This window comes from Homo sapiens, chromosome 3, assembly GCF_000001405.40.
Source record: "Homo sapiens chromosome 3, GRCh38.p14 Primary Assembly".
Taxonomy (NCBI): domain Eukaryota; kingdom Metazoa; phylum Chordata; class Mammalia; order Primates; family Hominidae; genus Homo; species Homo sapiens.
The window spans coordinates 65,257,230-65,282,615 of record NC_000003.12 but is presented as its reverse complement, the minus strand read 5'-3'; the positions used below and the strand labels follow the sequence as shown (position 1 = coordinate 65,282,615).

The following is a 25,386-nucleotide window of genomic DNA, read 5'->3' as shown; positions in this document are numbered from 1 at the left end:
TGAGGAAATGTGCACACGTAGAGAGAGAGAAAAGTGAGAGACCAGGAGACGATGTGGCAGCCAAAAAGGGAAGAAAGCAAGATGGAGAAAATAGCTTCCTCAGTCTGAGTTAGCCTTTGGTTTTCAGTTTCTCAAGAGCCTTGAGATTACATGAAATATTCCTGATTCTTTAAAATGAATCTCCTCTTATTTAAGGCAGCCTGAGTGGGTTTCCATTTCTGGCAACCATGTGACTTTGAATCTTTGCCAAAATGAAATTAGCATTTATCTCATCTTTTTTGACGTGCAACCTAAAGTTTTCACCATGAGTCTGAGAGAAAGGTAAACTGGCTATGAAATGATGTGGCCCATTTGTGGGATGGAGGAAAGGATTTGGGTTCTAGACTCGTATAATCTGAATTTTAGCTACCACTTTGCTACTTTTTGACTGTGTGACTTTGGAGAATCACTTATTCCGTGGGCTGACATTACCACATCCTTAAAATAAAAGTTGCTTCCTGTCTTAGTCCATTTTCTGCTGCTATAACAGAATATCTGTGACTGGGAAAGTTATAAAGAAGAGAAATTTCTTTGGTTCATGTTTCCAGAGGTGAAGTCCAGGAGCATCTGGTGAGGGCCATCATGCTGCATCCTCCTATGTTGGAAGGCTGAAGGGCAAGAGAGTATGCTTGAGAGAGCAAGAAGGTGCCAAACTCACTTTTATAACAACCCACTCTCACAATAACTGTTCTACACCCAAGATAACAACATTAATCCATTCACGAGAGCAGAGCCCTCATGACCTACTCATCTCTAATTAGGTCCCACTTCCTAATACTGTTGCATTGGGGATTAAGTTTCCAACACAGGAACTTTGAGAAACACATTCAAACCATATCCCTCCCGGTTCGTAAAATACTGTTTCAGTAACACTTACAGGGCAAACTGTATTAATGAACCTTGACAGTCTGTAACAATAGCCAGCATACAAATGGGGGCCATTTTTTTGATACACAGTTGGGTGAAAGGCAAACAGGTTAGCTGGTGCTTTGTAAAAGGTGATGTGATAGAAATATATATTTAGGCTTGCATATAGTAAATACTAAACATTTTTAGCAGCTGTTTTCAAGCCCATTGCTCGTCTCTTTACATACCTTTTCTTCCTAACATGATCATGACCATCATTTCCCTTAATAGTTAATTAATATTCATTAAAATGACTTTGGTATGCCTAGCACTGTGAAAGTGAAAATGATGGAAAAATGATCCCCTATTAAGTGACCTCTGTGTGGCAGATAATGTAAATTTTTCCAAATGTCTTATTTCATGTAATTTTCACAATGATTTTGCAAAGTAGGCATTTGTTCTTTTACAGATGAGGGAACTAAGACTCAGAAAGGTTAACTGACTTGCAAGGTCACCCAGCTGGGAAATACTAATACGAGGACTGGACCCTGGCTTTCTAACTTCTACTATTCTGTACTCTGTGGTAGGAGTAAAGATGCAGCCCTGGCCCTCAAGAAGCATATATCTAGCCTAGGGCAGAGTCAGGTGGGTTGGTGGATGGGAGTTCTAGGCAGAAACAAAACACAACCACCCAAGGAATAGCAGGAGAACAAAACCTGACTCTGAATCCAGTTAGTGTATTCCCATCACTACACTAGCTTAGAGAAGAGTCAAAGGGCATTGGATGATTCTCAAAGGACATCATAGAGGAGGAGGTCTAAGGGAACCTGGTCCAGTTATCTAAGCTCTCCAAGACAGGGATCCCCATAGGTAAAATAGGAATAACAATATTTGTTCTTCTTTCTTCATGGTCATTTTGTGAGATCAAATCGCTTGAAGTGTGTTACAGAACTTTGAACTATCCAAGTGCTTTCTAAATGTGAGGGAATGATTTTATAAATAAGGATAGGTAGGATTTTATATGGCCAGAGAGAGAGAAAAAGAGAAGGAATTCTAGGAAGGGAGAAGAGCATAAGGACAGAGAGAAGTAGAATGACTTCAGGGCTCTCTCTCTTAATCTCTGAGTCTCTTGATCTCCACATCTATCTAATTTCTATTTCCATTATGATTGCTATTTCTATCATCTCTAGAGAAACAGCTAATGGAGAGAAATATATAGATCTAAATATATGAAAGAGTGAGCTAGGGAGAATGGGGGAAGGGAATGGATGAATGGGGGTAGAGAAACTGACTTGACTCCATAGAAAAGTTCTAAATGAAACTCTAAATTGTCAACTGTTAATGGCAGCATCTTACTTGATACAGAAAAGTATTTGAGCATGCAGTGGACATATGCCATTTTATTTGATTGCCCAGTATCCATGCCCTGTCTTATTTATGCACAATATCCTATTATGTGTAGTTCTTTTTGGAAAACTGAAGGAGGCTGTCAAAACAGATCCTGAGACAGATGTTTGCCTGCAGGTGGTTCGCTGGGGAGTACTCTTAGGAACAACACAGGTAGGGGAGTGAGGAAAGCTGGATGGGGCAGAGGGTGAAGTTGAACTGTAATGTAGTTTGCATAAAGGCCTCAGTCAACTCCACAAGGAGCTCTGAGACTAAGATGGCTCTTCAGAGATATCCCAAATTGAGGCACAGTTTGCAGGCATTTGTATTCCTTTATCAACTGTCAGAGGCATTAGAATCAGAGGGGAATCCATCTTCAGTGAGGGCTAGGAAAAATGAGGCTGGGGCTTGCGGGAATGCATTCACAGAAAGTGAGGTATTCCTAGCCTCTAGATGTTTATGATTAAGGGAACAGATTGATAATGTTTACTAAACAGACCCAGACTCAGGAAAGTCCTGATATCCCAATACCTTGAGAACAGAAGCATTCCTAATTTTGCTTTAAAGATAATAATATCGATTCTTGCAAAATATAGTAATAAAATAAATTCTTTATCACAAACCCTTGTAGCAGAGCACTTATCCCCATGACTTTTTGTTGTTGTTGTTGTTGTTATCATGTATATAAACAAGCATTGTACCTAGACTGGGTGCGTTCTTCCTGTTACAATCGGGAACACCCTACTCTGTCTATGGAGCAGCTGTTCTTTCACCACTTTGCTTTCTTAATAAATTTGCTTTCGCTTTGCACTTTGGACTCGCCCTGAATTCTTTCTTGCATGAGATCCAAGAACCTTCTCCTGGGATCTGGATCAGGACCGCTTTCCAGTAACATACCCAGGCATTGAATGCAGGCTGCCCCCAGTACAGAGTGTACCCTTGGGTGAGGCAGCTTCTCCCAGTGGAGGACAATTCCAGGGGAGGGATTTATCTGGGAACCATCAGCAGGCAATATCCCCAGCAGCTGGGGGAATTGAGAGCCTGGGTCTTGAGAGATCTGTCAGTGTACCACAGCATCCCCACCAAGGGTCAGCTTCCCCTTCTCCATGTTGCCTGCCTGCTGGGTTAAGGGCACATGAGCTAGGTTTGGCCCATCAGATTCTCTCACCAAGGACTTTATCTTGAGTAGATGACACAAAGATGAAAGATCCAATAACATTCACTTAGGCAGCAGTAGTAGGCACGGTTATCTTTTCAGTTTTGTGGCAGTAGTAGCTGGCCAAAATATTCCTGAAACACAGCTTTTGCCAGTGTCCTGTGGTTCCTTAATATTTTCTAATCCTTGGTCTTAAATCTCTGGTTGATGCTGTGAGTCTTTTCTTTCTTTCTGGTAAACTTCATTTTATCTTTAGATATTGAAGCTTGGTTTTGGTTTCTTAAAACTAAGGAACTCTGATAAAGGGAATAAATGACAAAAGAGAAAAGGAAAGAACATTAAATTTTAGAATAATGCTTATTACCTATGCTAGTATGAGTACAAAGAAGGTATCATACCTTTTAATAGACTATGACAGTGGTAATAGTAATTTGATTATTATTTTCCTTCAAGAGTTTCATTTTTTAACCCCAGAGAAGGGTATATATATATATATATATATACAGAATCTTATCTCTTTTGACAGGCTGCTTGGCAAAGAGATACTCTCCATTATATATACTTCTTTTGCATCATATTCTCAAGCTTGTTTGTAAAAATGAATGAGTTTGCAGAAGACAGATCTCACTAAACAGGTTAATTAGTTGAGAAAAATGAGAAGCCACTACTGGGCATTTTAAAATCACTTACAGGGCCAAGGTGGGTGAAGTCAATTAAGAAGTACAAAAATTCACTAAGACTACGGTGGCAATTCTTTTAAGGCCCCTTTGGATAATGCAGAGTTCAAGGCTGAAGAGTATGTGTGCAGAACATAAGGTGAGATGGAGATGCCAGTAAGGTGTATAGCAGATACCCAGAGGCAACAGCCTCCAGAAATCATTCCAAGAAGTGGAACAGGAGGGTGAGAAGTAGGAAGGTAGTTTAAGTATTAATGACAGCATGTTTAGGGTGTTGAAATCTTTGACTAATAGCTTAATAAATCATGGATTAATAGTGAGATTTCCAGTAGGAAAATCAAAGTTCTCAACCAATTTACTTACATGTAGATAGAGTGCTCCCTGGGTTAGGTCATTAAAACTTCGTCAGAATGTACTTAGTAAAGCAAGTGGTACTAAACATGAGGCTAAATTGCCTTGCCTTGTTGACCGGATTCAAAGCAAATCAGCTCAAGTGGGTTCCTGCCATCCCTTTTGGAGTGTGCCTGCTGACAGAGGAAATGGATCCCAGCAGGAGCAGATTTCTGAGTATTTAATCTCCCATTGCTACTGTTGCAGCATCCACAGGCTTGAGATGGCTAGGGTAAAAACTGAGATTTCTGTTTTTGGTCTCTTTGAAGCAAGGGAATAAGGAGGAAACCCTAGAAGAAGGTACTAAGCTTTCTCTTTTGGGGAGGTGGTGTTGCAAGATGTTGGGTTTTGGAGGAGGAAACACATGTTCTTTGGGATGGGTGGTCAGAGAAAGGCTCATTTACGAGGTAGTATCTAGGTTGTGACCAGTAAGATCAGAAGGAGGAAGCCGTAGAAGGACACCAAGAGTGAGGCTGGGAGAAGTGAGGAAGGATGTTCCAGGAAGAAGGGACAGAGCATTGCAAATACTCTGGGGGAGGAAAGAGCTTGGAATCTTTGAGGAAGTGAAGGGTGACCAATGTGGCTGGAATTAGAGGGTGAAGATTATGGTGGGGAGTGGGGTATTTGGTACCGAGACCCAGGTAGAGAGGTAGGAAGGGGCCCATTATTTTGGCTAGCTGGATCATGATATTATACAAAGCTGGGATTTTGTTTGACGTGCAACAGGAAGCCATGGAGGAGTTTTAAGGCAAGGAGTGACATGATCAAATTTCTATTTATAAGATGCCACTGTGGCTTCTACAAGGAGAATATGTTGGAGGAAAACAAAAATGAAATCAGGCAAAATAGTAAAGAGGCAATTACGAAAGTGTAGGGGAGATGTGGTAAGCGTTTGATCTAGGGAGGTGGCCAATTGTTGTCAACAGAAGCCGACGGATTAAGGGTATAGTTAGGAGGCAGAAAAAGAAGATTTAGTGATGAATTGGCTGGTGCAGAGGGATCATTAGAATGAGATAAATCTAGGATAACACCCACATTTCTGTCTTGAGCTACTACTGGTATGTAGCAGTCATTTTCTGGCTTGCCTTCTAGCCATTGGCCCCGTTTTTAAATTCTGCAATTTTATTCCCTTCACCTCTTGCTAAGTCAAGATCTCAGGCACTGCTCTTCTTGTCACCCTCATGCCTGCTTGGTGGTCAGAGAAAAAAAAACAGCTCCTCTCATGAGTGAGTTGTGTCTCTTGTCAATAGAATTAAAAAACAGAGCTCCTTCTCGGGTATCAGCACCACGCGACTAGCCTCTCTCACATGCAGTGCTGGATCCTTGAGTGATTTAGAATCAGCATTTCTTACTCAGCCTTGATATGAATGCATTGCCTGTTGATTATCTCAGACACAACTTATTACCCTGAATTTAAGACTCCTTCAGCGCTGTTTCAATTAATGTGGTGGTGAGTGTGAACATTAGAATGGCCAAGCACAGCCAGGATTTAATTGATTTAATTTGCATATCTTATTCTGAAAGAATTATATGTTGTAAATTCACCCACTGGCAGGACCTGACCACTGCTACCTTCTTTGTGAATACAAAATTAGCTTCTCTGAAGGTTTCCCTAACCCTGGTTGTCTTTAGATCACTTAAGACCTTTAATGTTCGTTCCATCTTTTTAGAGAAGAGTACAGAACCCTCTTGGGAAATAAATGCCAGTTTGGGGGAAGGCTGTGAGTATGACTACATTGCTTATAAGAGGAGCATGTGCACTGAGAATAGTGTCATTTTGGAGCCATCTGCAAGGGATCTTTTGGGGACTCTGGTTTTGGGAGCTGAAGTCAGAGCAGATGCTTCTCTGATGGAGACTAGGTTGGGAAAAGGAGTTATTGTATCTTTCTAGGCCAAGACACATTTCCCAGAAATCTTTCTGGGTACTGTTAGAAGTTTTATTATAAAAAATGTGTAAAAGACAAGCTAATGGAAATCTTATATTGCATACATACCTGTGTATGCAATATATTTAAATATGTTATACACATGAACACCCACACAAATAGCTATACATCTGGTAATCACCAAGTATGCATCAGTACACCTGTACCAGTTGATGACATATTGAAATATTTTCATTGCACTTGGTAAATAGATGCTGCCCCTGAGTACCCCTCTGGCTACCTGCTGTACCCTCTGGGGCTCCCCTTGATCTGCTTGATGTGTCCAAGTGGAAACACTTGGCTCTTGAAGGATGCCTCCAGGCCTCTGTCCTGATTCTACAGCCAGAGTCCTTTCTGATGAGTCTGTGAATTTACAGGTTGTTAGCCATTTTGAATACCACCTGTGTGCATGTGTGTAAATGTTTGGGATTTGACCTCATGTTGAAATTTCTTTCATTAATTCATTTGCACACTGAGGCTGACGAGGCTGATTTCTTTCATTAATTCATCTGCACAGTGAGGCTTGCCTACTATATGCAAGATACTTTGCTAATTTCAGGGGATATGAAGTTGAGTTAAATAGTCCCTGCGCTCAAGGAGTTTAGTCCAGGAGTGGAGACTGACACATCAATGTGTAAGTGTCATGACAGAGATAAGCAAACAGAATCACAGGATTGTTGGGGGCTCCTAATCCAGCATGGGATTATGGTGATATAAGTAGTCAGGGAAAACTCCTTGGAGGGAGGATAATTGAGCTGAGTCTTACAGGATGAGTGGGGATTACCCTTATGAAGGGGTGGGGGTGAGGCAGGGTGTCCACTGAGATTCACTGGCAGGGAGTGTCCAGAGGAGTGGGAGAAGAGGGTGAGGCAAGAACAGGGAAGATCTGGCATATGCAATAATTGTTATTTTGTCTGCACAGCATTCTTTCTCCTAACAGAATGTATCTCTTTCTTTTGGGTTACTCTACCTCTCTACTCTCAGACTGGTAGTTTGGAGGTGATGACTCCCACTTCCTGTTATGCAGGTGGGTATGTAACGGAGGTCTGGGTAAATGTATCCTCTGTTGCTTTGGCACAGGGATTGGTTCCAAGATAGGCATGGACCCAAGTCAGTCTGGTAAGAATCAGCTCCAAGATTCATGATGGATACATTGGAAAAAGGAACCCTCTCTTTTTCTGCTCATGGGGCTAAGCCCCTGTTGGCCAACTTGCTATTGTTAGGAGAACCAACCAACCAACCACCATTCAGGAAGGCAGAGTTGAGACATAACAAAAATAGATTACTGATAGATACATCTAAGCAATTGGATTCCACTGTGCCAAAGCCCATATACCCTGGGGTTTTTTAAATTATATGAACAATACACTTTTCAGTTTAAGCCAAATCAAGGGCAGGGCCTAGAGTGTGCAAGTGAAGGAAACCCAATGAGCTCATGTCATCCAGCAGAGTGAGCCACGAGGACTCTTGGAAACAGTGCAAACTAAGAAGTGAGTGGATGCAGAGGACTTCACCAAGGATGCAAAGATGGAAATGTCAGAGAAATGGGAGGAGAACCCAGACAGTTGCTTGTACAGAGAGCTTTCTGACAACTTGAATATAGCTTTTCCTTTTAAGTATGTCTGAGCAGAATCACGTTTGCATTCTGGCTTCTTGTTTCTGTTCAGATTGGTCCTATTCAGTCTATATAATCTGCATTTCACCATTTTATTTGCTTAAAAAACATTTTTTTAAAAATCAGCACTTCAGAGGGAAGTGTCAGTGAGGCATTTTCCTTAACATCACTGAATTTGAAGTAGTGGATTTTGATTTAAGAAGGTTTATCAAAATGCCCCCAAACCTATCTTAAAACACTGTACTCCCTCCCTCCTTAATTACTACAAGTTTGTCTGGGGACCACTTTATTTTGTCATTTGCACTTTGGATTTCATGGCAAGCTAACTTAATAATGTGGTAATATAAACAATAACAATATTAATCACTTATTCCATGCCCAAGAGTGTTCTAAGCTCTCTGTATGCAACTGGCCTGTGAGATGACCACCATTATAAACCCTGTTCTATTTTATTTTATTTTTTGCTTTTTTAATTAATCGACTTTATTTTTTTAGAGCAGTTTTATGTATACAGAAAAAGTGAACAGAAGGTACAGAGGGTTTCTATTTATCACCCCTAACCACAGTTTCCTATATTATTAACATCTTGCATTAATGTAGTAAATTTGTTATAGTTGATGAACTAATATTAATGCAATATTATTAACTAAAGCACATAGTTTATATTGATTCACTCTTTGTTGTACAGTTCTGTGAGTTTTTATAAAAGTATGATTCATATATCTACCATCATGGTATGGTACAAAATAGTTTCACTGCCCCCAAATTCTCCTGTACTCCAACTATTCATTCCTCCCTCCCTCAACATGAATGCCTGGAAACCACTGGTCTTTTTATTGTCTCCACAGTTTTGCCTTTTCCAGAATGTCATATACTTGGCATTATCCAATATGTAGCCTTTTCACACTGGTTTCTTTCACTTAGTGATATGCATTTCATGTTCTTCTATATCTTTTCATGACTCTGTGGCTCATTTTTTTTTAATCACTGGAACATAGTCCATTGCATGGCTGTACAACAGTTTGCTTATGCATTCACGGATTGAAGGACATCTCGGTTGCCTCTCAGTTTTGACAGTTACAAATAAAGCTGCTATAAACGTTCATTTACAAGTTTTTGTTTGGATATAAGTATTTATCTCATTTGGGCAAATACCAAAGATCGTGACTGTTGAATTGTAAGGTAAGTGCATGTTTAGCTTTGTAAGAAACTACCAAACTCTTCCAAAGCAGTTGTGCCATTTTGCATTCTCACCAACCATGAATGAGGGTTCCTGTTTTTCCACATTCTTGCCAGCATTTGGTGTCAATATCGTGGATTTTAGCCATTCTATAGGTGGTAGTGATATCTCGATATTGTTTTAATTTGCAGTACCCTGGTAACATATAATGTAGAGCACCTGTTCAGATGCTTGTTTGCCATCTGTATATCTTCTTTGGTGATGTATCTACTCAGACTTCTTGCCCATTTTTTAATTGGGTTGTGTGTTTTCTCATTGTTGAATCTTAAGAGTTACATTTTTAAGAGGTATCTAATTTATCAAATTTGTGGGCATAGAGTTCTTCCTAATATTTATTATCCTTTTAATATCCATTAAATCAGTAGTGATGGCCTCTCTCATTTCTGATATTAGTAATTTGTATCTTCTTTCATTTATCCTTAGTTAGCCTGGCCGGAGGTTTAACATCCTATTGATCTTGTCAAAGAACAAGCTTTTGATTTCATCATTTTTCTCTATTGGTTTCTTATTTTAAATTCCATTGATTTCTTCTCTGATGTTTAGTAATCCTTTTCTTCTGCTTACTTTGGATTTAAATTGTTCTTCTTTTGCTACTTTCCTAAGGTGAAGCTTAGATTATTGATTTTAGTTCTTTCTTCTTTTCTAATATTTGCATTCAATGCTACAAATTTCCCTTTGAGCACTTCCTTTGCTGCATTCACCAAATTTTTATAAGTTTAAAAAAATTTTTTTTAGGTTTGGGGGTACGTGTGAAGGTTTGTTACACAGGTAAACACTTGTCACTGGAGTTTGTTATACATATTATTTCATCACCCAGATATTAAGCTCAGTACCCAATAGTTATCTTTTCTGCTCCTCTCCCTCCTCCCACCCTCCACCCTCAAGTAGACCGCAGTGTCTATTGTTTCCTTCTTTGTGTTCATAAGTTCTTATCATTTAGCTCCCACTTATAAGTGAGAACATGCCGTTTTAGTTTTCTGTTCCTGCATTAGTTTACTAAGGGTAACAGCCTCCAGCTCCATCTATGTTCCCTCAAAAGATACGATCTTGTTCTTTTTTATGGATGCATAGCATTCCATGGGGTATATGTACCACATTTTCTTTATCCAATCTGACATTGATGGGCATTTAGGTTAATTCCATGTCTTTGCTATTGTGGATAGTGCTTCAGTGAACATTTGTGTGCATGTGTCTTTATGGTAGAATGATTTGTATTCCTCTGGGTACATACCCAGTAATGGAATTGCTGGGTTGAATGGTAGTTCTTCTTTTAGCTCTTTGAGGAATTGCCATACTGCTTTGCATAATGGTTGAACTAATTTACCCTCCCACTGACAGTGTATAAATGTTCCTTTTCTCTGTAACCTCGCCAGTATCTGTCATTTTTTCAGTTTTTCATGATAGCAATTTTGACTGGTGTGAGATGGTATCTTATTGTGATAAACTCCATTTTAAAGATGAGAAAACTGAGGTTTAGAGAGACTGAAACATTACCAACTCATACAACTAGTGAGTGACAAAGCTGGGCATAAAGCTTACCTTTATTCCATTTTTGTGAGGAAAATATTTTTTCTATTACAGACATCCATAAGAAAACAACTAACCTTAAAGGCCTATATTTTTATTTTATTTTATTTTATTATTATTATACTTTAAGTTTTAGGATACATGTGCACAATGTGCAGGTTTGTTACATATGTATACATGTGCCATGTTGGTGTACTGCACCCATTAACTCGTCATTTAGCATTAGGTATATCTCCTAATGCTATCCCTCCCCCCTCCCCCGACCCCACAACAGTCCCCGGAGTGTGATGTTCCCCTTCCTGTGTCCATGTGTTCTCATTGTTCAGTTCCCACCTATGAGTGAGAACATGTGGTGTTTGGTGTTTTGTCCTTGAGATAGTTTGCTGAGAATGATGATTTCCAGTTTCATCCATGTCCCTACAAAGGATGTGAACTCATCATTTTTTATGGCTGCATAGTATTCCATGGTGTATATGTGCCACATTTTCTTAATCCAGTCTGTCGTTGTTGGACATTTGGGTTGGTTCCAAGTCTTTGCTATTGTGAATAGTGCCGCAATAAACATATGTGTGCATGTGTCTTTATAGCAGCATGATTTATAGTCCTTTGGGTATATACCCAGTAATGGGATGGCTGGGTCAAATGGTACTTCTAGTTCTAGATCCCTGAGGAATCGCCACACTGACTTCCACAATGTTTGAACTAGTTTACAGTCCCACCAACAGTGTAAAATTGTCCCTATTTCTCCACATCCTCTCCAGCACCTGTTGTTTCCTGACTTTTTAATGATTGCCATTCTCACTGGTGTGAGATGATATCTCATTGTGGTTTTGATTTGCATTTCTCTGATGGCCAGTGATGATGAGCATTTTTTCATGTGTTTTTGGCTGCATACATGTCTTCTTTTGAGAAGTGTCTGTTCATATCCTTCACCCACTTTTTGATGGGGTTGTTTGTTTTTTTCTTGTAAATTTGTTTGAGTTCATTGTAGATTTTGGATATTAGCCCTTTGTCAGATAAGTAGGTTGCAACAATTTTCTCCCATTTTGTAGGTTGCCTGTTCACTCTGATGGTAGTTTCTTTTGCTGTGCAGAAGCTCTAGTTTGATTAGATCCCATTTGTCAATTTTGGCTTCTGTTGCCATTGCTTTTGCTGTTTTAGACATGAAGTCCTTGCCCATGCCTATGTCCTGAATGGTGTTGCCTAGGTTTTCTTCTAGGGTTTTTATGGTTTTAGGTCTAACATTTAAGTCTTTAATCCATCTTGAATTAATTTTTGTATAAGGTGTAAGGAAGGGATCCAGTTTCAGCTTTCTACATATGGCTAGCCAGTTTTCCCAGCACCATTTATTAAACAGGGAATCCTTTCCCCATTTCTTGTTTTTGTCAGGCTTGTCAAAGATCAGATAGTTGCAGATAAGCGGCATTATTTCTGAGGGCTCTGTTCTGTTCTATTGATCTATATCTGTGTTTTGGTACCAGTACCATGCTGTTTTGGTTACTGTAGTCTTGTAGTATAGTTTGAAGTCAGGTAGCGTGATGCCTCCGGCCTTGTTCTTTTGGCTTATGATTGACTTGGTGATGCGGGCTCTTTTTTGGTTCCATATGAACTTTAAAGTAGTTTTCTCCAATTCTGTGAAGAAAGTCATTGGTAGCTTGATGGGGATGGCATTGAATCTATAAATTACCTTGGGCAGTATGGCCATTTTCATGATATTGATTCTTCCAACCCATGAGCATGGAATGTTCTTCCATTTGTTTGTATCCTCTGATTTCCTTGAGCAGTGGTTTGTAGTTCTTCTTGAAGAGGTCCTTCACATCCCTTGTAAGTTGGATTCCTAGGTATTTTCTTCTCTTTGAAGCAATTGTGAATGGGAGTTCACTCATGATTTGGCTCTCTGTTTATCTGTTATTTGTGTATAAGAATGCTTGTGATTTTTGCACATTGATTTTGTATGCTGAGACTTTGCTGAAGTGGCTTATCAGCTTAAGGAGATTTTGGGCTGAGACAATGGGGTTTTCTAAATATTCAATCATGTCATCTGCAAACAGGGACAATTTGACTTCCTCTTTTCTTAATTGAATACCCTTTATTTCCTTCTCCTGCCTAATTGCCCTGGCCAGATCTTCCAACCCTATGTTGAATAGGAGTGGTGAGAGAGGGCATCCCTGTCTTGTGCCAGTTTTCAAAGGGAATGCTTCCAGTTTTTGCCCATTCAGTATGATATTGGCTGTGGGTTTGTCATAGATAGCTCTTATTATTTTGAGATACGTCCCATCAATACCTAATTTATTGAGAGTTTTTAGCATGAAGTGTTGTTGAATTTTGTCAAAGGCCTTAAAGGCCTAGATTTTTAAGTTTTCTGAAATTTATGTTATATGGTCCTTGTCAATAATTTACAGGACCTCTCAATAACAACAACTAGTAATGCTCTTTTTTCTATGCAAATGTGATGACCTGCCTGTCTAGCTGTTTCCGCACCTGTTAAAAGTTACATGAACCATTTCATGTGATTTCCAAAACCTTGCAACTGATATTTTATCTTTGGTTGTTTAATAAATATAATCAACACTACAACCTTTAGCATTTTGTGGAAACTACTCTAATTTCTCAGCAATAATGAATCCATCTACCAGAGGAATAGCCTTGGGGGACTCTATTTATTGTAGAACAGAATGAAAAATTTTGCCCATAAAGCAAAACCAGAAAATCTGGGACTTCCCTTGGTACTATTTCATGATTTTTCACTGCTCAAATGGCTTTAAGCTCTGTGATTGTCATTCCTCAGTGTCATAGCAGAAGCAAATAATTTCTCAAGTGACTGTTCAGAGATCTAGGCTTAGTCCAGGTCTGATCTTTGATGAGTACTAAAAGTAGGCATGGCTTTCTCTGGAGGAGCATTTTTTTGCAAAATACCAAAGCAAAACATACACAAGATGGTGAAATTTCCTATATTTTGAAACCTTAAATTCTTTGTAAAACATGTTTGAATGAAGTCTCCTACTTACTTTTATTGTTTTATTTTTGCTCACTGAGCAGAAATTGTTTTTATCCCAATCATCTTTTCTGTTCTGCCAAATAAAAATGAAATATGATCATATACACACACACAAAGCTTCCTGAGAGAATCATTCCAGAATCTCTCAGCTTATTAGCAGTGAGGAGGAAACAGAGCAGTTGTCAGAAATGAAGTCATTCCTAGCAGCTGCCTCATGTGGGAGAATTGCCTGTCTCACCATGAAAAGGCTGCTCCTTGACAACAGCGTTTTAATCACTGTTTTGTTTGAGGGAAGACCAAAGTTTTGGTTATTATGTGTGTTAGTCTATTTTCATGCTGCTAATAAAGACATACCCAAGACTGGGTAATTTAAAAAGGAAAGAGGTTTAATAGACTTATAGTTCCATATGGCTGGCAAGGCCTCATAGTCATGACAGAAGGCAAAAGAGAAGTAAAGGCACACCTTACATGGCAACAGGCAAGAGAGCGTGTGCAGGGGAACTTCCCTTTATAAAACCATCAGCTCTCATGAGACTTATTCACTATTACTAGAACAGCATGGGAAAGACCCGCCCCCATGATTCAATTACCTCCCACTGGGTTCCTCCCACAACACATGGGAATTATGGGAGCTACAATTCAAGATGAGATTTGGGTAGGGACACAGCCAAACCATATCATTAAGTTTTTCAAAACGATTCATCCCTTGACTGTATCCAGACTTATTTTCTACCACTTTGGATAAAATCGTTGGGACATTGTATACAACTTTCTAATGTTTTGTTGTTTCGCTGTATAATCTGAGTGGAATGGGTTTGAAATGCTATCTCTGGATCCCAGAAAAGTAAAATGCCCCTGGATTATGGCAGATTTTGTAATTTGGACCAACCCTCCCACTGATGACAAACCAGAAAGCTGGACAAAATATCATCTATTAAAAAATCTGTTTTAAGGCTTTAGGGAACTAACTAGGTTGTGAGGAATTATTGAGCCCAGATTTAAGAAACAGAAGTACTCAAAAGAGGCGCAATAACATTTTTGGCTGCTGTAACCCTGGGTGGGCTTGCAGATTCCAGAAGAGGCAGCTGAGACTGGAGCAGCACTTTCAACAGCCTAATGGAGTTGGAAGTAGGTGGCAAAAGTTAGAGTTCAGGACCTGCTTATGGTAGAAACCTAGTAAGAGCTCTACACATTGAATTGGGAATGTAAAAGCCTGCCCCTTAATTAGAAAGTGTGTACCAGAAGCAAAACTGTATTCTTAGAATCCACATCTTTGGATTATCTGGGTGGTTCCTGAAATCAGATAGATACTATTCCAGATTTCTAATGCCTCTAGTTGCCTGACAAAAATAAATAAAAACTCCTCCTTAGAAGAAAATAGCATGATTTGAGTTCAAATTATTTCTACAAACACTTTTTAAAATGCATTTATAGGCACACAACTCACAGATAGTCAGGCACATAAGACTACACATTGAGTGAGTACAGACGGAACAGCTGGCACGAGATAGGCCCCACCCAGATGTTGGAAAGTTCAAAAACATTTAAAAATAACTGCTTAGAAAATTAAAATGTTTTGTCAGAAAATTGGAAAAATGACATAATGTATTTTAAAACAAAATAGAAATACAGAAATTGAAAATAGCAATAACCAAAATTAACATCTTAAGAGATGAGTTTAACAGTTGATTATAAAGAAGAAGAGAGAATTATAGAACTCTAAGGTGTCAAAAATAAAAAGAAAATGGTATCTCAAAACTGCTGGGGGCCACAAATGATGGGATGAACTCATGGAAGGTATAGCCTGATTCTGCTAAGATGGATTCCATGAATCTATCATTTGTAAAAAGGAATCAGAACAAAGTTTTATTTGTACAGCATTCTTCAGAAATTGTAGTGGATAACTGCGTTAGGATCCATACTCTACCTGATTCAAATAGAAAGGGACTAAATATACAGAGATTTAGGGGCTTACACAATAATTGAAAAGACTAAGCAAACAGGCTGCAGGCTGGGCTTCCAAATGGTCACAGAGGTGGTTTACCAAAAAAAGTTCATCTTTTGTAACGATTAGGAAGCCACCACCACAGCTGGTGGCTCCAAGACTACATTGCATTAGCCATGACCCTTAGTAGCAAATTAGGTTCCTGAGCTCTATTTCTTGCTACACATGAAGCTGGGACCATCTGTAAGGATCTCACAAGAGCGTCCATGAATGCTCTTGCTAGAATAAGTAGTGTAAGCAGCTAGATTTTGCATGATTGTGTCTGTTGGCAGAGGCTGCCCATTGTGAACCTGAGTTGGAGGGAACCGTGAATGAGTAGTTTTTAGCTTCTTAGCCTCTAGCATCTGTAAGGCATACTACAAAGGGAGGAAATAAAGAGGCATGAGTCCATCTGCCACATCTACCACATCTGTTGTTTGTGTTTGCCTGGCACCACATCATCCTGTTTCTTATGGAAACAGAACTTTTTTTTTTTTTTTTCCTGTAAGGGAATAATGCAGTCAACGGTATACACTGACTCAGATCTACCAGTTAGACTAATCTGTCCCCTAGACACTGTAATTTGTTTATAGATGTGCCATTGATCCATTTTGGTTCTGGAAGACTCGTCCCCAAGGCTCCTCTGCCAAAGCTATGAAAAGAGACTTGTTCTTACTACCAAGAATCCTAAACATGCAGGATATGAATGTGGGCTGCTGTTGGTGGTTTCCCACCATGAATCGAGGGCATATTTGAAAGTGAAATGAAGTAGATTCCAGAAGAGAAAAGAAATGGGAGTGGGGAGTGTTCCTTTGATTTTGCTTAAACCCTGGGTCAAACTGTGCCTAAGCCTGTTCCCCTTTTGATTCCTCAGTTATATGATCCTATAGATTCTCTTTCACTTTTTCTAGTATGAGTTGGGTTTCTGTCATCTGCGATATAGAGTTCTGATTAGGAATTATGTGAACTAATGTGTTTTGATATGCACCATCTTTACAGCTGGAAAACATCTCTCTTTGTAAAACTGACGTAAAGATTGTGGCATCTTATTTCCCTTAGAAATCTACATTGTACTGGTCAGAGGTCTGTGGGAGGGATTCTGAGAGCTTCCCTTCAGGCCTATCCTGGACCTCCCTGTGGGTGGGAGTCTGAACAATCCAGCCCTTTGTGGTAGTAAAGTATTTGGCAAGTGAGGTTGTGCCATTTAAAACTGGGGTGACCGGACCAGCAATAAGCCTTACATTATATCTTGTACTTGTCTCAGGAGTCTTCTCAAGAATTCACCTATTTTGATATAAGGCTTGTTTCTGCATTCGTTCATTTATTCATTTAACATTTTGGAGTCTCCACTTTGTAGCTTAGGGCAATTAAGTTTCAAAGAAATGGCTATCCAACTCCACTGTTTACAAACTTTTAGTGGCTCCATGCTGCCTAGGGAAAATGGCCAACATCTAGATCCTTCTGCATCCAAGCCTGACCTGCGTTTGCAGTGATATCTTGGCCTGCGCCTTTCTAGAGGGTCCATGTGGCAGGTGCTTTGTGATATTCACCTCTATGTGGCAGGCGCTTTGTGATATTCACCTCTGTGTGGCAGGTGCTTTGTGATATTCACCTCTATGTGGCAGATGCTCTGTGATATTACCTTTATGTGGCAGGCACTGTGATAGCTACCTCTATGTGGCAGGCACTGTGATATTCACCTCTATGTGGCAAGTACTTTGATATCCACCTCTATATGGCAAGTGCTCTGTGATAGTCACCTTTATGTGGCAGGCACTTGGATATTCACCTCTATGTGCAGGCACTGTGATATTCGCCTCTATGTGAAAGGTGCTCTGTGATATTCACCTCTATGTGGCAGGCACTTGGATATTCACCTCTATGTGGCAGGCACTGTAATATTCACTTCTATGTGGCAGGTGCTGTGATATTCACCTCTATAGGGCAGGCACTGTGATATTCACCTCTATGTAGCAGGCACTGTGATATTCACTGATACGTGGCAGGTGCTGAGATATTCACCTCTATGTGGCAGGCGCTCTGTGATATTCACCTCTACGTGGCAGGCGCTGTGATATTCACCTCTACGTGGCAGGCACTGTGATATTCACCGATACTTGGCAGGCGCTGTGATATTCACCTCTATGTGGCAGGCACTGTGATATTCACCTCTATGTGATGGGCTCTGTGATATTCACCTCTACGTGACGGACTCTGTGATATTCACCTCTAAGTGGCAGGCGCTCTGTGATACTCACCTCTATGTGGCAGGTGCTCTGTGATATTCACCTCTATGTGGCAGGCACTGTGATATTCACCAGTACGTGGCAGGCGCTGTGCTATTCACCTCTACGTGGCAAGCATTGTAATATTCACCTCTATGTGGCAGGCACTCTGTGATATTCATTTCTATGTGGCAGGTGCTCTGTGATAGTCACCCCTCTCCTAAGGAGCCACAATTCCCACCCACACCCCCACTCCCTTGCTTACATGACTCTTGGATATTGATGCATTTCCTTGCCTATTCATTTTTCATAATTTGGATCAGGTGGCACTGATTTCAGGCCCTGATCTTTACATTAAGATCAACCTTTCCTTTGTGCTCCCAATGTATTTTTTTCATGTCACTCTTGTTAGATTTATCACATCCCAATGATGTCATTTTATTCTTGTTTTTCCTTTATTACCCTGTAAACTGCTAAAAACTAAATGTAGTACCTCATTCACCCTTTTATCTTCAGTGCTCAAAACAAATACTAGGTCAATTCCTCATTCCTCAATTATACACTTTTATAGCATCACTTACTTCTTTGTAATATTTGTCAAGATTGGAATTTTATAGTTGTTTTTGTGAGTTTTGGATTAATTTGTATCTTCTTTACTAGATCAAAAGCCTAAAAGGGGTAGGGTCATGACTAATTTTGCTTGCCAACATATTCCTCCTGCCTAGTGTAGTGGCTGACACACAGTAGGTGCTAAACACATTTATTGAAGAGATGAGTGAAATCTTTGTTGAATAAATGGATGGATGATAGATAACAGACTGTGTTAATCCCCTTCAGGAATACTAGTAGTTTAAAAAGAGTAGCCTAGAGGAGTTTTCTTCTAATGGAAAGGACCAGTAATGTCACTATTAGTGGAATTTCAGGTACCATAAGACCCTGGGTGATTTAAAAACAATGTTTAAATTTCTATCTTACAGAAAAGTTGAAAAAAGAGTACAAAGATTTTTTCCCCCTGTAAGTTGCAAACAGTCCCCAGTCATCCTCTCATACTTGAGTATATCTGATCTAAAGGAGAATATTCCCCTATATAATTATAATACAACCATCAGTATCAGGAAATTGACATTAATAAATGACTACTATTTAATCCACAGGTTCCATTCAGCTTTTGTCAGTTGTTGCAATAATGTCTTTTTTTCCCAGTCATCAGGCTAAAAATTTATTTTTTTTCCTTTTAAAAATTTTAAATTCAGGGGTACATGTATGGTTTTGTTGCATATTGCATGATGCTGAGATTTGAGCTTCTAAAGATCCTGTTGCCCAGGTAGTGAACATGGTACCCAATAGGTAGTTTTTCAAGCCTTGCCATCCTCTCTTCCTCCCTGCTTTTGGAATCCTCCGTGTTTGTTGTTCACATCTTTGTTTTTGTGTGCACCCAATGTTTAGTTCCCAGTTATAAGTGAGAATATGTGGTATTTGGTTTTCTGTTTTTGCATTAATTCACTTAGGATAACAGCCTCCAGCTGCGTCCATTTTGCTGCAAAGGACAAGGTTTTGTTCTTTTTTTTGGCTATGTAGTATTCCATGGTGTATACCACATTTTCTTTATCAAGTCCACCATTGATGGGCACCTGGGTTGATTCCATATTTTGGCTATTGTGAATAGTGCGGCAATAAACATATAAATAAGGTCACGTGTCTTTTTGGTAGAATGATTTCTTTTCCTTTGGGTATATACTCAGTAATGGGATTGCTGGGTCCAGTGGTAATTCTATTTTTAGTTCTTTGAGAAATCTCCAAGCTGCTTTCCACAGGGGCTGAGCTAATTTGCATTCCCACCAGCAGCATGTAAAGTGTTCCATTTTCTCCTCAACCTTGCCAACATCTATTTTTGACTTTTCAAAAATAGCCATTCTGACTCGTGTGAGATGGTTTCTCATTGCGGTTTTGATTTGCGTCTTTCTGGTGATTAGTGGTGTTGAGGATTTTTTCTGGTATATTTGTTGGCTGCTTGTAGATCTTTTGAGAAGTGTCTTTTTTTTTAACTTCCTTTTTTAAATTATACTTTAAGTTTTAGGGTACATGTGCACAACGTGCAGGTTAGTCACATATGTATACATGTGCCATGTTGTGCTGCACCCATTAACTCATCATTTAACATTAGGTATATCTCCTAAAGCTATCCCTCCCCACTCCCCCCACCCCACAACACGTCCCAGTGTGTGATGTTCCCCTTCCTGTGTCCATGTGTTCTCATTGTTCAATTCCCACCTGTGAGTGAGAACATGCGGTGTTTGTTTTTTTGTCCTTGCGATAGTTTGCTGAGAATGATGGTTTCCAGTTTCATCCATGTCCCTACAACGGACATGAACTCATCATTTTTTATGGCTGCATAGTATTCCATGGTGTATATGTGCCACATTTTCTTAATCCAGTCTATCATTATTGGACATTTGGCTTGGTTCCAAGTCTTTGCTATTGTGAATAGTGCCGCAATAAACATATGTGTGCATGTGTCTTTATAGCAGCACGTTTTATAATCCTTTGGGTATATACCCAGTAATGGGATGGCTGGGTCAAATGGTATTTCTGGTTCAAGATCCCTGAGGAATCGCCACACTGACTTCCACAATGGTTGAACTAGTTTACAGTCCCACCGACAGTGTAAAAGTGTCCCTATTTCTCCACATCCTCTCCAGCACCTGTTGTTTCCTGACTTTTTAATGATCGCCATTCTAACTGGTGTGAGATGGTATCTCAATGTGGTTTTGATTTGCATTTCTCTGATGGCCAGTGATGATGAGCATTTTTTCATGTGTCGTTTGGCTGCATAAATGTCTTCTTTTGAGAAGTGTCTGTTCATGTCCTTCGCCCACTTTTTGATGGGATTGTTTGTTTTTTTCTTGTAAATTTGTTTGAGTTCATCTTTTATGTCTTTTGTCCACTTTTTGATGGGTCATTTTTTATTGCTGATTTGTTTATGTTCCTTATAGATTAGAGGTATTAGTCCTTTGTTGGATGGATACTTTGCAAATATTTTCTCATTCTGTAGTTTGTTTACTCTGTTAATATTTGACGTGGCTGTACAGAGCTCCTTAATTAGGTCCCAGTTAACAATTTTTATTTTTGTTGCATTTGCTTTTCAGGACTTAGTCATAAATTATTTGCCTAGGCCAATGTCTATAAGGGTATTTCCTAGGTTTTCGTCTAGGATTTGTGTAGTTTGAGGTCTTACATTTAAGTCTTTAATCCATCCTGAGTTAATTTTTGTATATAGTGAGAGATAGGGGTCCAGTTTCATTCTTCTGCATATGGTTAGCTAGTTTTCTCCAGCACTGTTTATTGAATAGAGTGTCCTTTCCTGTGTTGATAAAAATAAACAATGCAGAAAGAGTATCCTATTCAGGAAGTAGGAATGCCTTTATTTCAGTGGTTTCTATTCTGTTCCTTTGGACTGTGTATCTATTTTTGTACCAGTACCATGCTGTTTTGTTCACTGTAGTCTTATAGTATATTTTGAAACCGTATATAGTATATTTTGATATTTAATATCATGCCTCTGTTTTTTTCTTTTAGCCTAGGATTGCCTTGGCTATTCAGGCTCTTTTTTGGTTCCATATGAATTTTAGAATAGTTTTTTTCTAATTCTGTGAAAAATAACATTGGTAATTTGACAGGAATAGCATTGAATCTGTAGATTGCTTTGGGCAGTATGGACATTTTAACAATATTGTTTCTTTGAATCCATGAGCATGGAATGCTTTTTCATTTGTTTGTGTCTTCTGTGATTTCTTTTAGCAGTGTTTTGTAGTTCTCCTTGTTGAGATCTTTCACTTCCTTGGTTAGATGTATTCCTAGGTATTTTATTTTTTGTGTGGCTCCAGTAATGTCTTTGTAGCAAAAGGATTATCCAATAAAGGATATTATTGAAAAAATTGACGAAACTTGATCTAATCTTGGATCACATGGTACATTGGTTGTCATATCTCTCTTAAGTCTTCAGTCTGGAAAAGTTCCTTAGTCTTTCCTTGGCTTTCATAAGCTGGAGACATTTTTCATTATTACACTTCATTTACTTTGTAAAGTTTCCCTTGATTTGTGCTTGCCTGATGTTTTCTCATGATTAGATTCAGTTCATTCCTCATTGGCAGGAGTATCACAGAAAGCAGTGCTGTGTTCTTTTCATTGCTTCCTATTACAAGAGAAGTTTACTTTGATCAGTGGTTTCTTCACTGTAAAGTTTTTCTTTTTCTTCCTTTTATAATTAAGTATTTTTTTAAGGAAAGAGACTTTGAGGTTATGCAAATATTTCACTTCTCACCAAACTTTCAGTGAAGGAGATATATTTGAGCAAAGAATCCTTTCTGGCATTCTCAGATGCAGTTTTACCCTTAGACTTAGACAGGAGGGACTCCTTGCTATGGGTGAGCCCTTAATTTAAAGGTACCTCATCTCCTTTTCCCTTCCCTTCCCTTCCCTTCCCTTCCCTTCCCTTCCCTTCGCTTCCCTTCCCTTCCTTTCCTTTCCCTTCCCTTCCTTTCCCTTCCCTTCCCTTCCCTTCCTTTCCCTTCCCTTACCCATCCTTTCCCTTCCCTTCCTCTCCCCTTACCCTTCCTTTCCCTTCCCTTCCTCTCTCATACACACACAGAACTTCTTAATGTAGGTCCCAGTTATCAATTTTTATTTTCATTGCACACACACACACACACACACACACACACACTATTAGTATATATGAGTACATCTGTCATTTATGATCCAGTGCTCAGCTTTGCTACAGGGAGAGTTGTAATCCTAAACGTCAACTGCCATGACTAGCACCTCTCAGGTCTCAGAGAACCACTTCACAACTTCTCTTGCCCAAGGTTCCTGAAGCAAAAGATGACTGAATCTCAACGTCACTGAACCTGGAGCTTTGTGGATTGTGCTGCTGCCTACATCAGGGACACTGCTCCACGGTACGGGAGGGCTTAAGTGACAGAAGGTAAGACAGAAGTAAGAAAACAGATATATTATTTAACATGTAAAATTCTTCCTTTTGGATAACATTAATGCAAGAATAGATTTTGCATACCAAGAATCTTGTTTTAAGGCTACTTAGGAGTCAGCTGTGGATTTATAACAGTCACATAAGGCAGCTAAGGGATAATGTACAATATTAAAAAATTTTCAATTTATTTAGTTCTAGATAAAATGTGAATGAAGCATAATACCAATTATTTGCACACTTCAACAGTAAGCATTAGAATTGTGAGTAGTTTTATTTCTACACACTTAATGAGATTTAAAAGAAATATTAAATATTTAATAAGAATTTAAAAAAATTAAATAAAATATGTGTTTTATTTAGTGTTGATTTAAAATTTGAATACTCCATTAATTATTTTAAATTTTGTCTTTTAATTTTAGTAGATAATTTAAAACATTTTAGAAGACAAAATGTGAAGGCAATACTTTAAGTAATATTAAATAGTTTATTAAATAATGTATAATAGACATAAAAATGATAAAACATTAAGTAATAATTTAAATAATTCTTTTTACCTTGTTACATTTACTTTAATATAACTTTTGAATAAAAATATTCTCAAATTTTGTGTATTGTGCATATAATTTACATTTTATCTAGAATTCTTTAAATTATTATTGTTAATAGAACATAGATAATGTGAAAATCTTGATAGTAATATTAGTGAAATGATTATAAAAGTGATTCTGTGGAAATAAGGGCAAGAAAAGTAAAGCTTATGGCATAGATAGGTAACAATTTATGACTATGTATGGCTTTATTTTATTACTCATTCAAATGCTGCTGGCCCATTTACAGAATACTCAGAGCTGTACAATAATCTTTCCATTCAGTCATCTTTGATATGTTATTGATTTGTGGTCACTTAAAAGCCATGGTTTTACATATTTTCCATTTCATCTTTGTGGAAAAAGTAGTCATCAAGGTAGGGAGACAGAACACATTTTATTTAACAGTTTTTAAGCCTGATTTATAAAATAGACATACAGCTTATGGGCTTCCATTTGAATTCTTACCCCAGGCTCTGCAAGTGTTATGGGTGAGCTTTCTCAGACCCCCTACCCACCCCACCACTTATGTAACTACCTAGATTTATGATGATCCTGAACTCTGGGGACAACTCATATTATTTTCAAATTCTGTGCATCAGATAGGATTGCGTATTTTTGTCTGTAGAGTAGCCATTGGCATCTATTTCATCATCAGATAGCTTCGTGGACTATTGGGGGACTTCTGTGCACATTGCATCTTCTTTTGGGGAAGGTCTGATGACCATTAACAGTTGAAGCTGAGCTTTAACAAGAAGGTTAATAAACTTCAAAAGTGAGTCCAGTGTTTTAGGGCCGGCTAGTGTATCCTTTAATGCCCTCTCCATTGGTTGGCATGGATCTGCAGGATGGTTGATATGGTTTGGATATTTGTCCCTGCCTAAATCTCATGTTTAATTGTAATCCCCAATGCTGGAGGTGGGGCCTGGGGGGAGATGTTTGAGTTATGGGAGCAGATCCCTCATGGCTTGGTCCTATCTTTGAGGCAGTGAATGAGTTCACATGAGGTCTGGTCATTTAAAACTGTGTGGCACCTCCCCACCCCCCACTCTCTCCCTTGCTCCTGCTTTCACTCTGTGATGTGCCTGCTCCCTCTTCACCCTCCTTCATGACTATAAGTCTCCTGAGGCCTCCCCAGACACAGATGCTGCTATGCTTCCTATACAGCCTGCGGAACCGTGAGCCAATTAATTAAAATACCTGAGACTGGCCAGGCATGGTCGCTCATGCCTGTAATCCCAGCACTTTGGGAGGCCGAGATGGGTGTATCACTTGAGGCCAGGAGTTCAAGATCAGCCTGGCCAACATGTCGAAATGCTGTCTCTACAAAAAAATGCAAAAATTAGCTATGTGTGGTGGTGTATGACTGTGATCCCAGCTACTTGGGAGGCTGAGGCACAAGAATCGTTTGAACCTAGGAAGGAGGTGGAGGTTGCAGTGAGCCCATATCATGCCACCACACTCCAGCCTGGGTGACAGAGCGAGACTCTGTCTCCAAAACACAAACAAACAAATAAACAAACAAAAAACCACCACCAACAAAAACCCTGAGACTGGGTAATTTATATAAATTATATGTTAATTAAATTTATATAAATTATATAACATATAAATTATATGTTAATTAAATTTATATAAATTACCCAGTCTCAGGTATCTTTTTTATAGCAATGCAAAAACAGCCTAATACAACAGTGTTGTGTTTGTGCCCCACCTCCTCCTAGGAGGCCCTGTGGGATTGCAATTTGAGCAGTGCAGCAGGAAGGTCCAGTGTTCTCTCCCTTCTAGTAAGGGGCTAGTG

General features: G+C 39.1%; 1 long non-coding RNA gene across 1 annotated transcript in view; it reads left to right on the top strand.

The window, feature by feature from the left end:
• The window catches only part of LOC107986094 (uncharacterized), a 71,566-nt gene extending 48,595 nt beyond the window's left edge, over nt 1–22,971 (top strand). The window contains exon 4 of the long non-coding RNA XR_001740740.1: nt 22,874–22,971. This is a non-coding gene — a long non-coding RNA (uncharacterized LOC107986094). The remainder of the gene's footprint in view (nt 1–22,873) is intronic.
• Nucleotides 22,972–25,386: the final 2,415 nt, after the last annotated feature.